General features: G+C 35.7%; 2 long non-coding RNA genes across 6 annotated transcripts in view; one reads left to right on the top strand and one right to left on the bottom strand.

The window, feature by feature from the left end:
• The window catches only part of LOC105377177 (uncharacterized), a 250,124-nt gene that overhangs the window by 45,789 nt on the left and 185,681 nt on the right, over positions 1-18,654 (top strand). The window lies entirely within an intron of this gene.
• LOC105377176 (uncharacterized) overlaps positions 2,043-18,654 on the bottom strand; it is a 42,562-nt gene continuing 25,950 nt past the window's right edge. Inside the window, exon 3 of the long non-coding RNA XR_940989.3 lies at positions 2,043-2,097. This is a non-coding gene — a long non-coding RNA (uncharacterized LOC105377176). The remainder of the gene's footprint in view (positions 2,098-18,654) is intronic.

Below are 18,654 nucleotides of genomic sequence, written 5' to 3'. Positions count from 1 at the left end.
TTCAAATTTTTTATAGTTGCACATTGTTTATTAAAAGCATTATATCGTTCTCACTCAAAAGTGGGAGTTGAACAATGAGAACATATGGGCACAGGGAGGGGAACATCACACACCAGGGCCTGTCGGGTGGTGGGGGGCTAGGGGAGGGATAGCATTAGGAGAAATACCTAATGTAGATGACGGGTTGATGGGTGCAGTAAACCACCATGGCACATGTATACCTTTGTAACAAACCTGCACGTTCACGTTCTACCAAGTATTCCAGAACATATATATATATATATATATATAAAGATTTTTGAGGGAGCAGGAGTAGCTCTGTTACCGCCAGAGTTGACATTAAATCTGTTTGTGCGTTACATTTCAGTCTAAGTGGCATGAATCATGGAATGATGGAGAAAGTTACTCATTGAAAGTTGCTTTAGTGATCTTGCAGCTGCCTTGGAACATGATTGTGGGTTGCAGTTTCTTTAAAGAAGTAGTCATGCTTGTATTTTCATGCAGAGAGGAATGGCATGGCTGTAACAAATAAAAAACTAAACTGTAGAAACCACAACAAAAAACATTACATAGATGTTTCTGGTAACTTTTATTCAGCATTAAAATATGTATACTTTCATCCATTTAATTTATTAAAATGTCAAAATATTTTTATATACATTACATCTAATGTAATTTATATATACACATATACACAACTGTTAGAATGCCTGGGAAAGAAGTTTCAGGATACCCAGAGTCCAAGCATTGGCAGAAAGCTTACACTGTGCTGGAGAGCTTCTCAGCTCTCTACAACAGAAAAGCAAGTAATTTACAAGGACTCTTTCTGATCTTAGCCTTAGCTTCATGCTGAGAATTGTGACTTCTTCGCTTTTCACTTTCCAATTGTGCGCAAGTTTCTGATTTGCAGCATCTGACCAGAAAGTATAAAACAAAAGGACTTTCTGGAAAATACAGTAACAGGTTTTTTCCTGCAACAAGGAGAAAAAAAATACTTAAGGGCATTAAATAGAAGATAAAAAAATAGATGGCCCTTTAAATATTAAAAATTTAGAATAATTATTATTTCCTGGAGGTATATTTTTAATTACATCTTAAAGGTGATTAATTTGATTTACTGCCTTATTCAAACTTATAATGAAATCTTATTCTTAATACATAACAGAGATGCCTGGTTTATTGCCACACTTTAAAAGACAATGAACAAGTTATGTGAGATAGACACACAATTATTTTAAAGTTAAATATAAATCATTGCCATATTGTTGTTAGAAGAATATTGTACTAGAATTGGATTTTATTATAATATGGAATGGGTGAATGTGTCTTGTTCATTTTCTTGTCAAAGCCAAATACAGTATGTTTTGCCAGTTTGTTTTGTCAAAACAAAAGAAAAAATATTTTAGTTTTGTTGAAGTAAATATTCCTTTATGATTCTGGATAAATCTGATTTTATGACAGTGAACTAAGAGTACACTGCAGTCTTTCCATTTCATGTCACATCTTAGAAATAAATAAAAGTTTTAAAAATAAAGAAATAGATACATTAGTAATCAAAGAGGAGAAATCTTGAAGAGCCAGAAATTGTGAGTAATCATTGAAGAACTGAAAACTGTTGAAATACATAAGCCAAGATAAAAACTTAGGTTTACATCTATGGAATGTAGGATCCACACCAAGGGGGTTCTGGGTGTGGAGATGATGAAACAAGGATTAAGGATGGGGGCAGAAAGAGCCCAAATGTTACTTGGGTTGGTCACTGTAGTGAGAGACATTAGTTAGTGAAGAGAAAGGAGATCTGTTCATTAGGCAGAAACAGTGTTTAGGAGCTTGGATGAAAGGCAGAACAAACTTTCTGATGACTGGTAACATGAGCTTTTTCATGACACTGAGCATATGGGGTTTCTGCTTCTTAGCAAGGTTTAGTCCATTCTCATGCTGCAAATAAAGACAAACTGAGACTGGGTAATATCTAAAGGTAAGAGGTTTAATTGACTCACAGTTCAGCATGGCTGGAGAGGCCTCAGGGAACTTACAATCATGGTAGAAGGGGAAACAAGCAAGTTCTTCTTTGCGTGGTGGCATCAAGGAGAAGTGCTGATCAAAAGAGAGAAAAAGCCCATCAGATCTCATGAGAACTTAACTCTCAAGAGAACAGCATGGGGGTAATGTTCCCCATGATTAAATTACCACCTACCAGGTCCCTCCCACAACACCTGGAGATTATGGTAACTACAATTCAAGATGAGATTTGCATGGGGACACAGCCAAACCACATCACAGGGTAAATAAAATTCTGGACTTATGGACAAGGATGTTAGCTTTCTTTCCTGGAATTGTCAATGAACTTTATATATAAAGATAGTCTAGCAATCAATCTTAACAGGTCAAAACAAAAGGCTGATGGGACAGAGAGACATTTTTCAAAACCCGCAAATAAGTATGTCACTCTTTGGGGCAGTGTTAAAGGATTCCAAATTTTTGTCTTCTCAACATGGAAACAAACATCAAAATTGTGGAGAAACATTTCCCCCAATCAACATAGACTAGATGTTTAAAAATTGCAACATCAATTGTACAGAGGTCCGAGAAGGAACACTATTGGGAAGTGATGAAAACTAATATTTGAATAAGAAAAAGCCAAGTATGTCCCAGGCTTAGAAGACAGAGAATAGTAAAACCACATGCAAATATATACATCAGTATATGTATATACATTTTACACACACACACACAGCATATACATACATGTACACCACATGAGAGTTTAATTTCAAATCAAGCAAATAAAACAAAATCCTAAGAGTTACCAGGGAAATGCATTGAGGATTTGTGGGAGAAATAGGTGAAAGATTGCCTACATATGACAACAAACTTTTCTTATCAATTTTTATTTTTTAATGTTTAATTTTTATGGGTACATAGTAGGTGTATATATTTATGGGGGTATATGAAATATTTTGATTGAGGCATACAATGTGTAATGATCACATCAGGGTAAATGGGGTATTCATCACCTGTAGCATTTATCATTTCTTTGTGGCTTTATCAATTATTGGCACAAAAGGAGAATAGAATAGTCTTTAAAGTGCTGAAGGGGAGGTACATTTGAACATAGACTCCTTAAATTATAAATAAAACAAAACAAAAACATCATTGTAATATGAGGCAAAATGATGACCTTTTTTACGAATTTGGAAAATATAAAAGCTTATGACCTGCAACCCTTTTTTGAAAGCATTATTAGAGACTATCCCCTAGCAAGAAAAAGAAAATATCCCCACACTGAAAAAGTTATTGACCATCTTTCCAAATATGCAGTAGGAATGGCGAACTCCTTCAATGTTCATCTGTAGTCTCCCTAAATGGCTCCCAGAATCTTGAATCGGAGGTGTTCGGAGCATAATTCTTTGGTCTCTGTTTTTCTAGAAGTATAGGTTGCCTTTAAATTTAAATTGAATTTTCAGCCAAGCTGTCAATATTACATATTTTCTTGTAAACAGGATTATACTGATTTTGCATCACGGTATTTAAAGCATTTTGTCAGTGCTTTGTATTATAATAATGTGCAAGAAAATATAATAATATAAATTCTAAGTAAGATTTTTCTTAATATCTGAAAAAGGAGGCCATCAGTGGATAGCAAGGAAAATGCAATGGTATATAAATATTATTTTTTTAATCTTTAACTTGTCATTAAAATATTTACATGACCATTCATATTTTATAAATATTGCATTAAGGACTAATATCACACAATGTTTAGGACATTATTTTAGTGTTTGGCATATCTGAGTTTTACTTAGCTTTTATGATTTCCTGGAGTTTTACCTGAGGTAAGTGCTTCAACCTTATTGAGTATAAATTTTTTCTCTTCAGAGATGCCTTTCATAAATATTCATTCAAATATATATCCCCAATATCCCAGCTTATAACTATGATTTTATTCTGCTTAATTTTTCTTATTAGTAGTTATCACTACTGGAGGTGTTAGCATATATTTGTTACTTTATTTATTATGAGTCTCTACAACTGCAATGTAAGTTCCATGGAACACATACAGAATATCTCTAGCCCACAACAAATCACAATGTCTGAAGAATAGAAATCACTCACTAAATATTTAGTAAAAGAATTAATAAATTCATTAGTGAGTAAGTGTCCTGGAAAGAAGTTTTGATAAACCAGTTTATTTATTTTCTTAATTAGAATATACATCACAAAAAGCACACAACGATTGATAATTTATTTGTGAACTAGAACAAAATGCATCCAGACAGAAATATCACATTACATTTGAATAGTATTATTGCCTGTTTTAATAAGTATGAACACCTCTCACAGGATCAGGAGTAGAAAATCATTATAGTATGTTCTTCGCTTTGTAGAAATTGATACTCAGAAATTTAAGATAGCTCTGTGAGTATATGTGTGTGTTTCCTTGTATGTGTATATATATACAGTTATTGATATTGATATATAGATAGGAAGAGTTGAAACCAGAAGTGAGTACCAGGACTCTTAAATCCTAGCACACATTTCTTCTTCTTTAAGTTGTCTTTTAAATACAAATTTTGTTTTCTTTCAACATTGTTTAATTTGTGTAAATAGAAACATACGAGCTTTGCCAGGTGAAAGCTGAAGCCATAGTAGGAGGGGCATTATCTTAATAGCACCACTGGTCTGACTGATAGAGACCAATAGTGGGTAGATTCATTTGAGCAATTGTTTATGCCATTCTCACAGTCCATCTGGGTACTAATGGGAATGGTGATGCCAGTGCCAGGCTAATGACAATCAGAGTTCTGCAAGTAATAACACTTTGGACTAATCTTTTGGGCAGAGTTATTTTCAGGGTATGCAAATGGAAAGTCCTTTATTAGTATTCTCAAGTTCTTCCTTTCTCGGTAACCCTTCAGCATCATTGTTCCCTTTTGAATATTCACATGCATGTCTTAAGTTATTTTTTCCCCAGAAACAACTCTGTGAAGTAAATTACATTCAGGGTTCTTAGTCACAGAAGGATTTTATTTTTTTCTGTGATCGAGGGGATGATACCAACAGGGCAAACACTGAAAAGCAACTGCTTTCAAACAGCATGCCATAGAACATAGGGTGAATACATTTGATAATGAAAGATTTAGTAATTTACAAATCGTTTGGTAAATTGACAATCTCTAGGAAGCTTTCTGTTATTACCACTCTTCACTGCATCTGTTTGTTTCGTTATCTTAGCAATTAACCTTATAGCTTACATATAAAGGAAAAAAACTAAGCTGCAAGTTTCTCATGCTTTTATGATTCTGCGAGAAAGATTTTGAAATATTTGACTGCTATGCAAACACAATAAAGTTTTATCCTGGCTATGCTTCCAAAGGTTCATCCCAAAAACCTATAAATTATAACAAAAATGATAATTTTATTAGGATAAATGAAGGTTCATTCCAAAAACCTATAAAGTATAACAAAATGATAATTTTATTAGCATAAATGAAGGCTCCTTCCAAAAACCTATAAAGTAAAATAAAAATGATAATTTTATTAGGATAAATATATGCCTAGTGTTCAGTCCCAAGTTAAATAGACACACACACACACACACACACACACACACACAAAAGTAGAAGCCATTTGCTTGGAAAGTTTATAAGCAGTGATATGGACTATAGTCAATTAAGTATATTGAATATACCCTCATGATTATAATTCTTTTATATTGAGTGAATTGCTTAAATTTATAATTTACATTTCAAAGATCAAATTATTTTAAACTGGAATGAATAGAATATCATATCGTTATCTATCAGCTGTAGCATAACATTACACTTTTGCAGTAAGCTAAGAAACTTTTTTCAAGTCATGAAAGAAACATTTAACAAACAGCATTTACTGAAAGAAACAAAGTAACCTATTTTAGAAGCACACTTATTTATGTATGATATTATTTATAAATTATTTTCAAAAGGCGTGGCATCTCTTTGCAATTTCAGTCATTGCATATATAATCATGTGAATATTTAATATGAGAAACATTCCAGAGAAAGCAACGTGTTTATTAATGCCATCTCTCATCCAAAATAAACTCTTCTATAACTTCACTGTAAGATGTGTCTAAGCCCTCTTTGAGGTTTTTCTGGTATTAGCAATTGTTTTTTATCTGCCGCCCATCAGATGCATTTTATTTTACTATTTTTGTTTTTCTTTAAGTATATCTATTTCAAGCTTACTTAATGTATCCTAATATCAAGAAGTACTTTGTAGTAAATTTTGTTCTTAAAGTGATGCTTTGTAAAGTGAAAAGCTATATTCTGATTTTTGTGCAGTTTAATTTTCTTGTATTGGTTATTTGTAGATTGTTCTTCAGGACATAATAGTTTACTGTTACACTTTGAAAGAGATTTGAAAGCATATTTTAAACTTGGTTGCTTGTCTATATAAAAATGATGATATTCCTTCTCATTCACATCTGTCAGTAAAGATCACAAATATTCCCTCTGTCCTATAACTTTCTTCTATGAAAATAAGTTCTATAAAAGTCTTCATTTTCTATATTTGAGGGAAACTAATATAATTGTGGAAGTTCCCTTTTAGAATTTTTTCTTACAATTAAAAAAATAGATGTCAAGCAATGGTGAATATACTGTGTAAAAAGCATAATGTTTTAAGTTATGGTATTGCCATAAAGGACTTATAACACTAATTTGTCTGAAATATAATCAAGGGAATTAGAAAGCAATATTGTCATTTTGAGATATGGAGATATTTCAGAAAATTACATAAATAACATAACTTCACAACTCCACTGACATGACTAAGTAAATTCTTGCTGTGCCTCTATGAATTAAAAAAAGTTAGTTTTACACAAAGGTAAATATATATAAACCTTGCTCTGCTTTGAACCTCTGATTCGTTTTGTTTTAAAATTTAATGTTTTATGCTAGGTGGGTGAATCAGCAACTTTCTGCCTATTCCTGACCAATAATGAGTTTCATATTGAACATTGCTAAACTTATAAAAGATTCAAACATTAAGCCATAACTAAAGGACACATGAATTGTACTATGTATAATTCTGAATGTAAATCAAAATAAGTATATATATATGTATATATTATAGGTATGCCAAGTATTATAATTAATGCTGATATTAACCACCATAATTAGGTTATCAAGCACCAATCTCATTGTATTCTTTATAGTCCATGTGTTGTGCCCCTATATTACATAAGTGCCCAGTAAATATATGCTGATGGGTGGGCAGGTAAAGCAAATATAAGTAAATGAAAATCTAAAGAAAACACTAAAGAGTCTGAATATTTTGTATTCACTTTTATTGGATTAAAAAGCTACCATTTCTTGTCCAGGCATGGTGGCTCATGCCTGTAATGCCAGCACTTTGTAAGTTTGAGGCAGGCAGATCACTTGAGGCCAGTTCAAGACCAGTCTGGCCAACATGGTGAAAACCCCGTCAATACTGAAAATAAAGAAATTTGCTGAGTGTGGTGCCACCTGCCTATAATCCTAGCTACTCAGGAGTCTGAGGCAGGAGAATCACTTGAACCGGGGAGGTGGGGATGGCAGTGAGCAGAGATCACGCCACTGCACTCCAGCCTGGGTGTCAGAATGAGACTCCATCTCAAAAAAAAAAAAAAAAAAAAAAAGCTACCATTTCTCTAGTAGAATAACTTTCTATAAAAATATGACTGTTTAATATTTCCAATAATTTGGAGCATTTATAATCTTAATTTTCTAGGTGTCTTTTCACTGAGAAATATTCTCAGTCTACAATGATCTTCCTCAAAATCATCCACATTAAGGAAATTGGTATCAGACAGGAGTATTAAGCTTTATTCTGTCATAAGGAATGTGCCAATTAACATTAATAATCATCTCATGCAAATTGTAGAGAAAGGAATCACCAGCAGCAAACATATCTTAGTTTTCTTAGTTTTCATACTTGATTTTTTAAAATTCACAAATTTGTTACAGTATTTAAGAAAGTTTGAATCTTTCCTCAAGTAGATTACATGTAGAATCTGAAATGAATGTTGGAACCATGCTGTGGAAAATAGGTTGAAAAACAAACAGAAATGAATGACCATGAAAGAGGCATAAACCTGTAATCTTACATTGCAAGGGGAACCTAGTTTCGCAAATAAATTACATACAGTCAATAGCACTGCTTGCTGTAGACTAGTTTCCTTATGTTCTTTTGGGAATTGTTTTTCAATCTCTTCTTAATGGAAAAGTATGTTGATAATCCTTACATCCACAGGTCTCGTCAGAGTGCCTCTAAGAAGAAACATGACATATTTGCTGTAGGCAAGGGGTTGACTGCATCAGAAAAGTTCAAAGTATTTACTCCTTTTCATTTTTTCTTATGTAATGCTATTTGGCTTGACTTATTTCTATAATAAATTATTTTTTGTGTTTTTGTTGACATTTTTAGTTGATTCCTGTTTCTTTAGTAAACTCATTTGTAGGTTCTCAGAGAAATCTTTGAAGCTCTATATGGTTCAAAAGCAATATTTAGTTTACTATAATTTAGTTAAGATTATATTTAAAATATTTTAAATTGAGGCTTTTAAATAAAACCTGACAGGAGAAATGTTTTATTTAAACATGAAAAATTTCAGAGCATTAAATATTTGATAAACATATTTCATTTTTTTAATTATACTTTAAGTTCTGGGATACATGTGCAGAACATGCAGGTTTGTTACAGAGGTATACACATGCCATGGTGGTTTGCTGCACCCATCAACCCATCATCTACATTAGGCATTTCTCCTAATGCTATCCCTCTCCTATCCCCCACCCCCTAACAGGCTCCGGTATATGATGTTCTCCTCCCTGTGTCCATGTGTTCTCCTTGTTCAATTCCCACTTATAAGTGAGAACATCTGGTGTTTGGTTTTCTGTTCCTGTGTTACTTTGCTGAGAATGATGGTTTCCAGCTTCATCCATGTACCTGAAAAGGACAGGAACTCATCCTTTTTATGGCTGCATAGCATTCCATGGTGTATATGTGCCACATTTTCTTTATCCAGTCTATCATTGATGGTCATTTGGGTTAGTTCCAAGTCTTTCCTATTATGAATAGTGCTCCAGTAAACATACGTTTGCATATGTCTTTATAGTAGAATGATTTACAATCCTTTGGGTATATGCCCAGTAATGGGATTGCTGGGTCAAATGGTATTTCTGGCTCTAGATCCTTGAGGAATTGCCACACTATCTTCCACAGTGGTTGAACTAATTTACACTCCCACCAACAGTGTAAAAACGTTCCTATTTCTCCACATCCTCTCCAGCATCTGCTGTTTCCTGAATTTTTAATGATCGCCATTCTAACTGGTGTGAGATGGTATCTCACTGTGGTTTTGATTTGCGTTTCTCTAATGACCAGTGATGATGAGCTGTTTTTCATATGTTTGTTGACCACATAAAAGTCTTCTTCTGAGAAGTGTCTATTCATGTTCTTACACCCACTTTTTGATTGGGTTGTTTGTTTCTTGTAAATTTGTTTAAGTTGCTTGTAGATTCTGGATATTAGCCCTTTGTCAGATGGATAGATTGCAAAAATTTTCTCCCATTCTGTAGGTTGCCTGTTCACTCTGATGATAGTTTCTTTTGCTGTGCAGAAGCTCTTTAGTTTAATTAGATCCCATTTGTCAATTTTGGCTTTTGTTGCCATGCTTTTGGTGTTTTAGTCATAAAGTCTTTGAGATGCCTATGTCCTGAATGGCATGCCGAGGTTTTCTTCAAGGGTTTTTATGGTTTTAGGTCTTACTTTTAAGTCTTTAATCCATCTTGAGTTCATTTTTGTATAAGTTGTAAGGAGGGGGTCCAGTTTCAGTTTTCTGCCTATGGCTAACCAGTTTTCCAAACACCATTTATTAAATAGGAAATCCTTTCCCCATTGGTTGTTTTTGTCAGGTTTGTCAAGGATCAGATGGTTGTAGATGTGTGGCATTATTTCTGAGGCCTCCGTTCTGTTCCATGGTGTATATATCTGTTTTGGTACCAGTACCATCCTGTTTTCATTACTGTATCCTTGTAGTATAGTTTGAAGTCAGGCAGCGTGATGCCTCCAGCTTTGTTCTTTTTGCTTAGGATTTTCTTGGCTACATGGGCTCTTTTTTATTTTCATATGAAATTTAAAATAGTTTTTTTCTAATTCTGTGAAGAAAGTCAATGGTAGCTTGATGGGAATAGCATTGAATCTGTAAATTACTTTGGGCAGTATGGCTATTTTCACTATATTGATTCTTTGTATCCATGAGCATAGAATGTTTTTCCATTTGTTTGTGTCCTCTCTTATTTCCTTGAGCAGTGGTTTGTAGTTCTCCTTGAAAAGGTCCTTTACATCTGTTGTAAGTTATTTTCCTAGTTATCTTATTCTCTTTGTGGCAATTGTGAATGGGCATTCACTCATGATTTTGCTCTCTGTTTGACAATTATTGGTGTACAGGAATGCTTGTGATTTTTGCACATTGATTTTGTATCCTAAGACTTTGCTGAAGTTGTGTATCAGCTTAAGTAGATTTTGGGCTGAAACAATGAGATTTTCTTTTCTTTTCTTTTCTTTTTTTTTTTTTGTGATGGAGTTTCACTCTTTTTTTCCAAGCTGAAATGCAGTGGAACAATCTTGGCTCACCACGCCTCTGCCTTCTGGGTTCAAGCTATTCTCCTGCCTCAGCCTCCTGAGTAGCTGGGATTACAGGCATGTGCCACCACACCCAGCTAATTTTGTATTTTTACTAGTGACAGGGTTTCTCCATGTTGGTCAGGCTAGTCTCGAACTCCTGACCTCAGGTGATCTGCCCACCTCAGCCTCACAAAGTTTTGGGATTACAGGCATGAGCCACCACATCCGGTTTTGATTTTCTAAATACACAGTCATGTCATCTGCAAACAGAAACAATTTGACTTCCTCTCTTCCTATTTGAGTATCCTTTATTTCTTTCTCTTGCCTGATTGCCCTGGCCAGAACTTCCAATACTATGTTGAATAGGAGTTGTGAGAGAGGGCATCCTTATCTTGTGCCACTTTTCAAAGGGAGTGCTTCCAGCTTTTGCCCTTCAGTCTGATATTGGCTGTGGGTTTGTCATAAATAGCTCTTATTATTTTGAGATACGTTCCATCAATACCTAGTTTATTGAGTTTTTAGCATAAAGTGATGTTGAATTTTAATGAAGGCCTTTTCTGCATCTGTTGAGATAATCATGTGGTTTTTGTCATTGGTTCTGTCTGTGTATGGATTACATTTATTGATTTGAGTATGTTGAACCAGCCTTGCATCCCAGGGATGAAACCAACTTGATCATGGTAAATAAGCTTTTTGATGTGATGCTGGATTTGGTTTGCCAGTATTTTATTGAGGATTTTCTCATGGATGTTCATCAGGGATATTGGCCTGAAATTTTCTTCTTTTGTTGTGTCTCTATCAGGTTTTGCTATCAGGATGACGCTGACCTCGTAAAATGAGTTAGGGAGGATTTCCTCTTTTTCTGTTGTTTGGAATAGTTTCAGAAGGAATGGTACCAGCTCCTCTTTGTACCTCTGGTAAAATTTGCCTGTGAATCTGTCTGGTCCTGAGGTATTTTTTTGGTTGGTAGGCTAATAATTAACTGCCTCAATTTCAGAACTTGTTATTGGTCCATTCAGGGATTGGACTTCTTCCTAGTTTAGTTTTGGGAGGGTATATTTGTCCATGAATTTATCCATTTCTTCTAGATTTTCTAGTTTATTTGCGTAGAGGTGTTTATAGTATTAGCTGATGGTAGTATGTATTTCTGTGGGATCAGTAGTGATATCCCCTTTATTGTTATTTATTGTGTCTATTTGATTCTTCTCTCTATTCTTCTTTATTAGTATGGGTAACAGTCTATCTATTTTGTTAATCTTTTCAAAAAACCAGCCCCTGGTTTTATTGATTTTTTGAAGGTTTTTTTTTTAGTGTCTCTGTCTCCTTCAGTTCTGCTCTGATCTTAGTTATTTCTTGTCTTCTGCTAGCTTTTGAATTTGTTTGCTCTTGCTTCTTTAGTTCTTTTAATTGTGATGTCAGTATGTCAATTTTAGATCTTTCCCACTTTCTCCTGTGGGCATTTAGTGCTATAAATTTCCCTCTCAACACTACTTTAACTGTGTCCATGAGATTCTGGTACATCGTGTCTTTGTTTTCACTGGTTTCAAATAACTTATTTATTTCTGCCTTAATTTATTTATACAACAGTCATTCAGGAGCGTGTTGTTCAGTTTCATGTGGTTGTGCAATTTTGAGTGAGTTTCTTAATCTTGAGCTCTAATTTGATTGCACTGTGGTCTGAGAGACTGTTTATTATGATTTCTGTTCTTTTGCATTTGCTGAGGAGTGTTTTACTTCCAATTACATGGTCAATTTTAGAATAAGTGTGATGTGGTGCTGAAAAGAATGTATATTCTGTTGATTTGGGGTGGAGTGTTCTGTAGATGTCCATAAGGTCTGCTTGGTCCAGAGCTGAGTTCAACCCCTGAATATCCTTGTTAAATTTCTGTCTCATTGTTCTGTCTAATATTGACAGTAGGATGTTAAAGTCTCCCACTATTATTGTCTGGGAGTCTACGTATGTTTATAGGTCTCTAAGAAATTGCTTTATGAATCTGGGTGCTCCTCTATTAGGTATATATATATTGGAGAGTTAGCTCTTCTTGTTTCTTTGATCCCTTTACCATTATGTAATGCCCTCCTTTGTCTCTTTTGAACTTTGTTGGTTTAAAGTCTGTTTTATCAGAGACTAGGATTGCAACCCCTCCTTCTTTTTCTTTCCATTTGCTTAGTAAATATTCCTTCGTTCCTTTATTTTGAAATTCCTTTGTGTGTTTTTGCATGTGAGATGGGTCTCCTGAATACAGCACACTGATGGGTCTTGACTCTTTATCCAATTTGCCAGTTAGTGTCTTTTAATTGGGGCACTTAGCCCATTTATGTTTAAGGTTAATATTGTTATGTGTGAATTCTATCCTGTTATTATGATACTAGCTAGTTATTTTGCCCGTTAGTTGATGCAGTTTGTTCATAGTGTCAACGATCTTTACAATTTGATATGTTTTTGCAATGTCTGGTACTGGTTGTTCCTTTCCATATTTAGTGCTTCCTTCTGGAGCTCTTGTGAGGCAGGCCTGGTGGTGACAAAATCTCTCAGCATTTGCTTGTCTGTAAAGGATTTTATTTCTCCACTTATGAAGCTTAGTTTGATGTGATATGAAATTCTGGGTTGAAAATTATTTTCTTTAAGAATGCTGAATATTGGCCCCCACTCTCTTCTGGCTTATAGTGTTTCTGCCGAGAGAACCGCTGTTAGTCTGATGGGCCTCCCATTATGGATAACCCGACCTTTCTCTCTGGCTGCCCTTAACATTTTTTCCTTCATTTCAAGTTTGGTGAATCTGATGATTAGGTTTCTTGGGATTGCTCTTCTCAAGGAGTATCTTTGTGGTGTTCTCTGTATTTCTTGAATTTGAATGTTGGCCTCTCTTGCTAGGTTGGGGATGTTCTCCTGGATAATATCCTGAAGAGTGTTTTCTAACTTGGCTCCATTCTCCCCGCCACTTTCAGGTACACCAATCAAACATAAGTTTTGTCTTTTCACATAGACCCATATTTCTTGGAGGCTTTGTTTCTTCCTTTTGATTCTTTTTTCTCTAATCTTGTCTTCACACTTTATTTCATAAGTTGATCTTCAATCTCTGATATCCTTTCTTCCATTTGATTGATTTGGCTATTGATACTTGTGTATGTTTCACAAAGTTCTTGTGCTGTGTTTTTCACCTTCATCAGTTGATTTATGTTATTCTTTAAACTGGTTATTCTAGTTAGCAATTTCTCTAGCCTTTTTTCAAGGCTTTTAACTTTCTTGCATTGGGTTAGAACATGCTCCTTTAGCTCAGAGGATTTTGTTATTACCAACCTGCTGAAGCCTACTTCTGTCAATTTGTCAAACTCATTCTTTGTTCAGTTTTGTTCCCTTGCTGGCAAGGAGTTGTGATCCTCTGGAGGAGAAGAGGCATTCTGGTTTTTGGAATTTTCAGTCTTTTTGCACTCATTTTTCCTCCTCTTCATGGATTTATCTATCTTTGGTGTTTGATGGTGACCTTTGGATGGGGTTTTTGTGTGGATGTCCTTTCTGTTGATGCTGATACTATTCCTTTCCATTTGTTAGTTTTCCTTCTAACAGGCCCCTCTGCTGCAGCTCTGCTGGAGTTTGCTGGAGGTCCACTCCAGACCCTGTTTGCCTGGGTATCACCAGCAGAGGCTGCAGAACAGAAATGATTGCTGCCTGTTCCTTTCTCTAAAAGCTTCGTCCAAGGGGGGCACCCACCAGATGCCAGCCAGAGCTCTCCTGTATGAGGTATCTGTCGACCCCTGCTGGGAGTTGTCTCTCAGTCAGGAGGCACAGGGCTCAGGGAGCCATTTGAGCAGGCAGTCTGCTCCTTAACAGAGCTAAAGTGCTGTGCTAGGAGATCCACTGCTCTCTTCAGAGCCAGCAGGCAGAAACTTTTAAGTCTGCTGAAGCTGCACCCACAGCCACCCCTTCCCCTGGTGCTGTGTCCCAGGGAGATGGGAGTTTTATCTACAAGCCCCTGACTGGGGCTACTGCCTTTCTTTCAGAGATGCCCTGCTCAGAGAGGAGGAATCTAGAGAGGAAGTCTGGCTACAGTAGCTTTGCTGAGCTGTGGTGGACTCAGCCCAGTTTGAACTTCCCAGTGGCTTTGTTTACACTGTGAGGAGAAAAACCTCCTATGCAAGCCTCAGTAATGGTGGACACCCCTCCCTCCACCAAGCTCAAGCATTCCAGGTTGACTTCAGACTGCTGTGCTGGCAGTGAGAATGTCAAGCCAGCGGATCTTAGCTTGCTGGTCTCCATGGGGGTGGGATCTGCTGAGCTAGACGACTCGGCTCCCTGGCTTCAGTCCCCTTTCCAGGGGAGTGAATGGTTCTCTCTCACTGGTGTTCCAGGCACCACTGGGTTGTGAAAAAAAAACTCCTGCAGCTAGCTCAGTGTCTGGCCAAACGGCTGCCCAGTTTTGTGCTTGAAACCCAGGGCCCTGGTGGTGTAGGCACCCGAGGGAATCTCCTGATCTATAGATTGTGATGACTGAGGGAAAAGTGTAGTATCTGGGCCAGAATATACCATTCCACATGGCACAGTCCCTCATGGCTTCCCTTGGCTTAGGGGTGGGAGTTCTCCAACCCCTTGTGCTTCCCAAATGAGGTAATGCCCTGCCCTGCTTCAGCTTGCCCTCCATGGGCTGCACCCACTGTCTAACCAGTCCCAGTGAGATGAGCTGGGTACCTCAGTTGGAAATGCAGAAATCGCCAGCCTTCTGTGTTGATCTCCCTGTGAGCTGCAGACCAGAGCTATTCCTATTTGGCCATCTATAAATCAAATACTGGCACATTTCAGTGGTGAATAACATTATAAAGAGTTAATTGGTATCAGCCATAGTTACTTTTTCATTATGCTCGTTAACTAGGTAGAATTCATTCATTCGGAACCTAGCAGACAGTTGTCTCATTTGTATGACAATGAAAGCCCTGATTAATAAAACTAGAATAATCTTAATACATCTTAAATTTAAATTTCAAATGATATATTAAAACAAAAACTGAAATATATGCATTAGGTAGCTATAGATAGCAAAGTACATTTATAATGACATAAATTGTAAATTTCATATAAAAGAGATAACATTTCAATAAATAAATGTCATAAATTTTGATGACTAAAAATTAATTATGCTATCTGGAGTGAGTGAATAGATTAATCATTCCAATTCTATTTGAGTGTGTAAATAAAGAGAAATTGCACAAATAAAATGAGATTGCCTGGGCCACATAAAGATGTTTTGTTCAGCAGCAGATTACATATGTGATGGTAATCCCGTAAGATTATGATGGAGCTGAAAAATTCCTATCGCTTAGTATTTATTATACAATATTTTAGTAAACTATTACTTTAGAGTATACCCCTTCTACTTACAAAAACAAAACGTTAACTGTAAAACAGCCTCAGGCAGTTCCTTAAGGAGATATCTCAGAAAAACACATTATCATAGGTGATTCCAGCTCCATGTGTGTTAATGCTCCTGGAGACCTTCCAGTGGGACAAGATGTGGAGGTGGAAGACAGTGATATTCATGATTTTGATCCTGTGTAGGCCTAGGCTAGCGTGTGTGTTTATGTCTTAGTTTTCTAATAAAATTTTTTTAAAGTAAAAATAAATAAAGATTTAAGAAAGCTTGTATAATAACATAAAGAAAGAAAATATTTTTTACAGCCATACATTGTGTTTGTTTTAAGCTAAATGTTATTCCAAGAGTCAAAGGTTAACACAACTAAAAGTTTATGAAGAAAAAAGCTATAGCTTTCCTGTCCTGCAAGCTCCATTCATGGTAACTTCCCTTTACAAGTGTACCATTTTTATTTTGTATATCATATTTTTTTACTGTATCATTTCTATGTTTAGATATACAAATACTACTGTGCTACAATTTTCTAGAGTATTTAGTTCAGCAATATGCTGTACAGTAATATGCTATATGGGTTTGTAGCCTAGGAGCAATAGGCTGTACTATATAGCCTAGATGTGTAGTAGGCTATACCATCCAGGTTTGTGTAAATACACTCTGTGTTGTTCACACAATCAGAAAATCACCTAAGAATGCATTTCTCAGATTGTATTTCTGTTGTTAATCAATGTATGACTGTATATCTAATGTTTCCAGATTTATTATTAATTATGTTTATTATATTTAATATGTTACCCCATTCTCCACTTACAACTGTATATCAACTACAGGTAATTCTAAAAGTTAAAAACTGAATTAACTGATTTACATTTATATATTCATACAAATTAATAAATGAACACACTACTATAGGTTACACATGCGTATTTATGGGAGGGAGTCAAATTGGTCCGATAGGCCGCCAACATCAGGAACAAATCAGATTCTTTTTAAAAAGACAAATTCCTGGGAACTTTTCCAGAAAGAATAAACCAAATCTATATGTAAGGGTTCAGGAATGTACATTTTAACGAATTTCTTAGGTGATGTTTGGTACTTTAAAAATTTCCGCCCTAGTTTTTACTTTCAATTTTCAATTGAAAATTCTTTCAATTTTAGAACAGTGTGTACTGGCATAGGGATATGTGGGGTTTCATTTACATAAAAGCAATTTAAGTTATGATCCTGTTCATTAATCAGAAATAATTAGAGCTGTTAGTATGCATTTGGTGTCTAACTGAGCTCAGTGCTCTGCATGTATTATCTTAAATGTCCATAGAAAATTTGAAGTGCTTAGAGGGGTTAAGTAAAAAAGTTCAAGGAAACAAAAAAAAGATGGTGGGGACCCAGGGTCAAAATCAGATCTATGGGACTCCTAAGCCCTTGCTTTTTCCACTATTTCACACTGATTTGAATTACTAGGGAAAGGAGATTTAAACATTTAGATATTGTGCTGAATGTTTTATCTTTGCTCTCCACATCCATGATTTTTTTTTTTAATCTTTATAGATTTAGTGAACACAAATGCATTTGTATTTTATGGATACATTGTGTAGTGGGAAATTCTGGGCTTTTAGGGTACCCATTACCTGGATAGCATACATTGTACCCAGTAGGTAATATTTCATTCTTAACCTCCTCCCATCCTACCATATTTTGGAGTCTCCAAAATCTATTACTCCTCTTTGTATGTCCATTGTCTAGCTCTTACTTATAAGTAAGAACGTACCATTTTTTTAACTTTATGTTTCTGAGTCACTTCACTTAGAATAATGCCCTCCAGTTCTGTCTATGTTGCTGCAAAAGATATGATTTAATTCCTTTTTATAGCTGTGTAGTATTCCTGGTATGTATATGTATGTGTGTGTGTGTGTGTCTACCCACTGCATTTTCTTTATTCAGTTATCCATCAACAGACACTTAATTCCATGACTATACTATTGTGAATAGTATGGTCATTAACATACCAGTAAAGGTGACTGATATGATTTGGCTCTATGTCCCCACCCAAATCTAACCTTGAATTTTAATAATCCCCGCATGTCCTGGGAGGCACTGGTGGGAGGTAAGTGAATCATGGGGGTGGAGTTTTCCTGTATTGTTCTCATGATAGTGAATAAGACTTATGAGATTTGATGGTTTTATAAAGGAGAGTTCCCTTGCACATGCCCTCTTGCCTGCCATCATGTAAGATGTGACTTTGCTCCTCATTTGCCTTCAGCCATGATTGTGAAGCCTCCCCAGTCATGTGGAACTGTGAATCAATTAAATCTCTTTTCTTTATAAATTACCCAGTCTCACACATATCTTTATTAGCAGCATGACAACCAACTAATACAGTAAATTGGTACCAGTTAAGTGGGGTGTGGCTGTAAAGATACCCAAAAATGTGGAAACAACTTTGGAACTGGGTAACAGGCAGAGTTTGGGACACTTTAGAGGGCTCCAAAGACAGGATGATATGGGAAAGTTTGGAACTTATAGAGAATTGAATAGCGATGAAAATACTAACAGTGAAACGGACAATAATGTCCAGGCTGAGGGGGTCTCAGATGGAGGTGAGGGACTTGTTGGGAATTGGAGCAAAGGTGACTCTTGTTAT

This window comes from Homo sapiens, chromosome 3 (genome assembly GCF_000001405.40).
Source record: "Homo sapiens chromosome 3, GRCh38.p14 Primary Assembly".
NCBI classification, from domain to species: domain Eukaryota; kingdom Metazoa; phylum Chordata; class Mammalia; order Primates; family Hominidae; genus Homo; species Homo sapiens.
The sequence above is the reverse complement of the archived record's forward strand: the minus strand, read 5'-3'. Positions and strand labels throughout refer to the sequence as shown.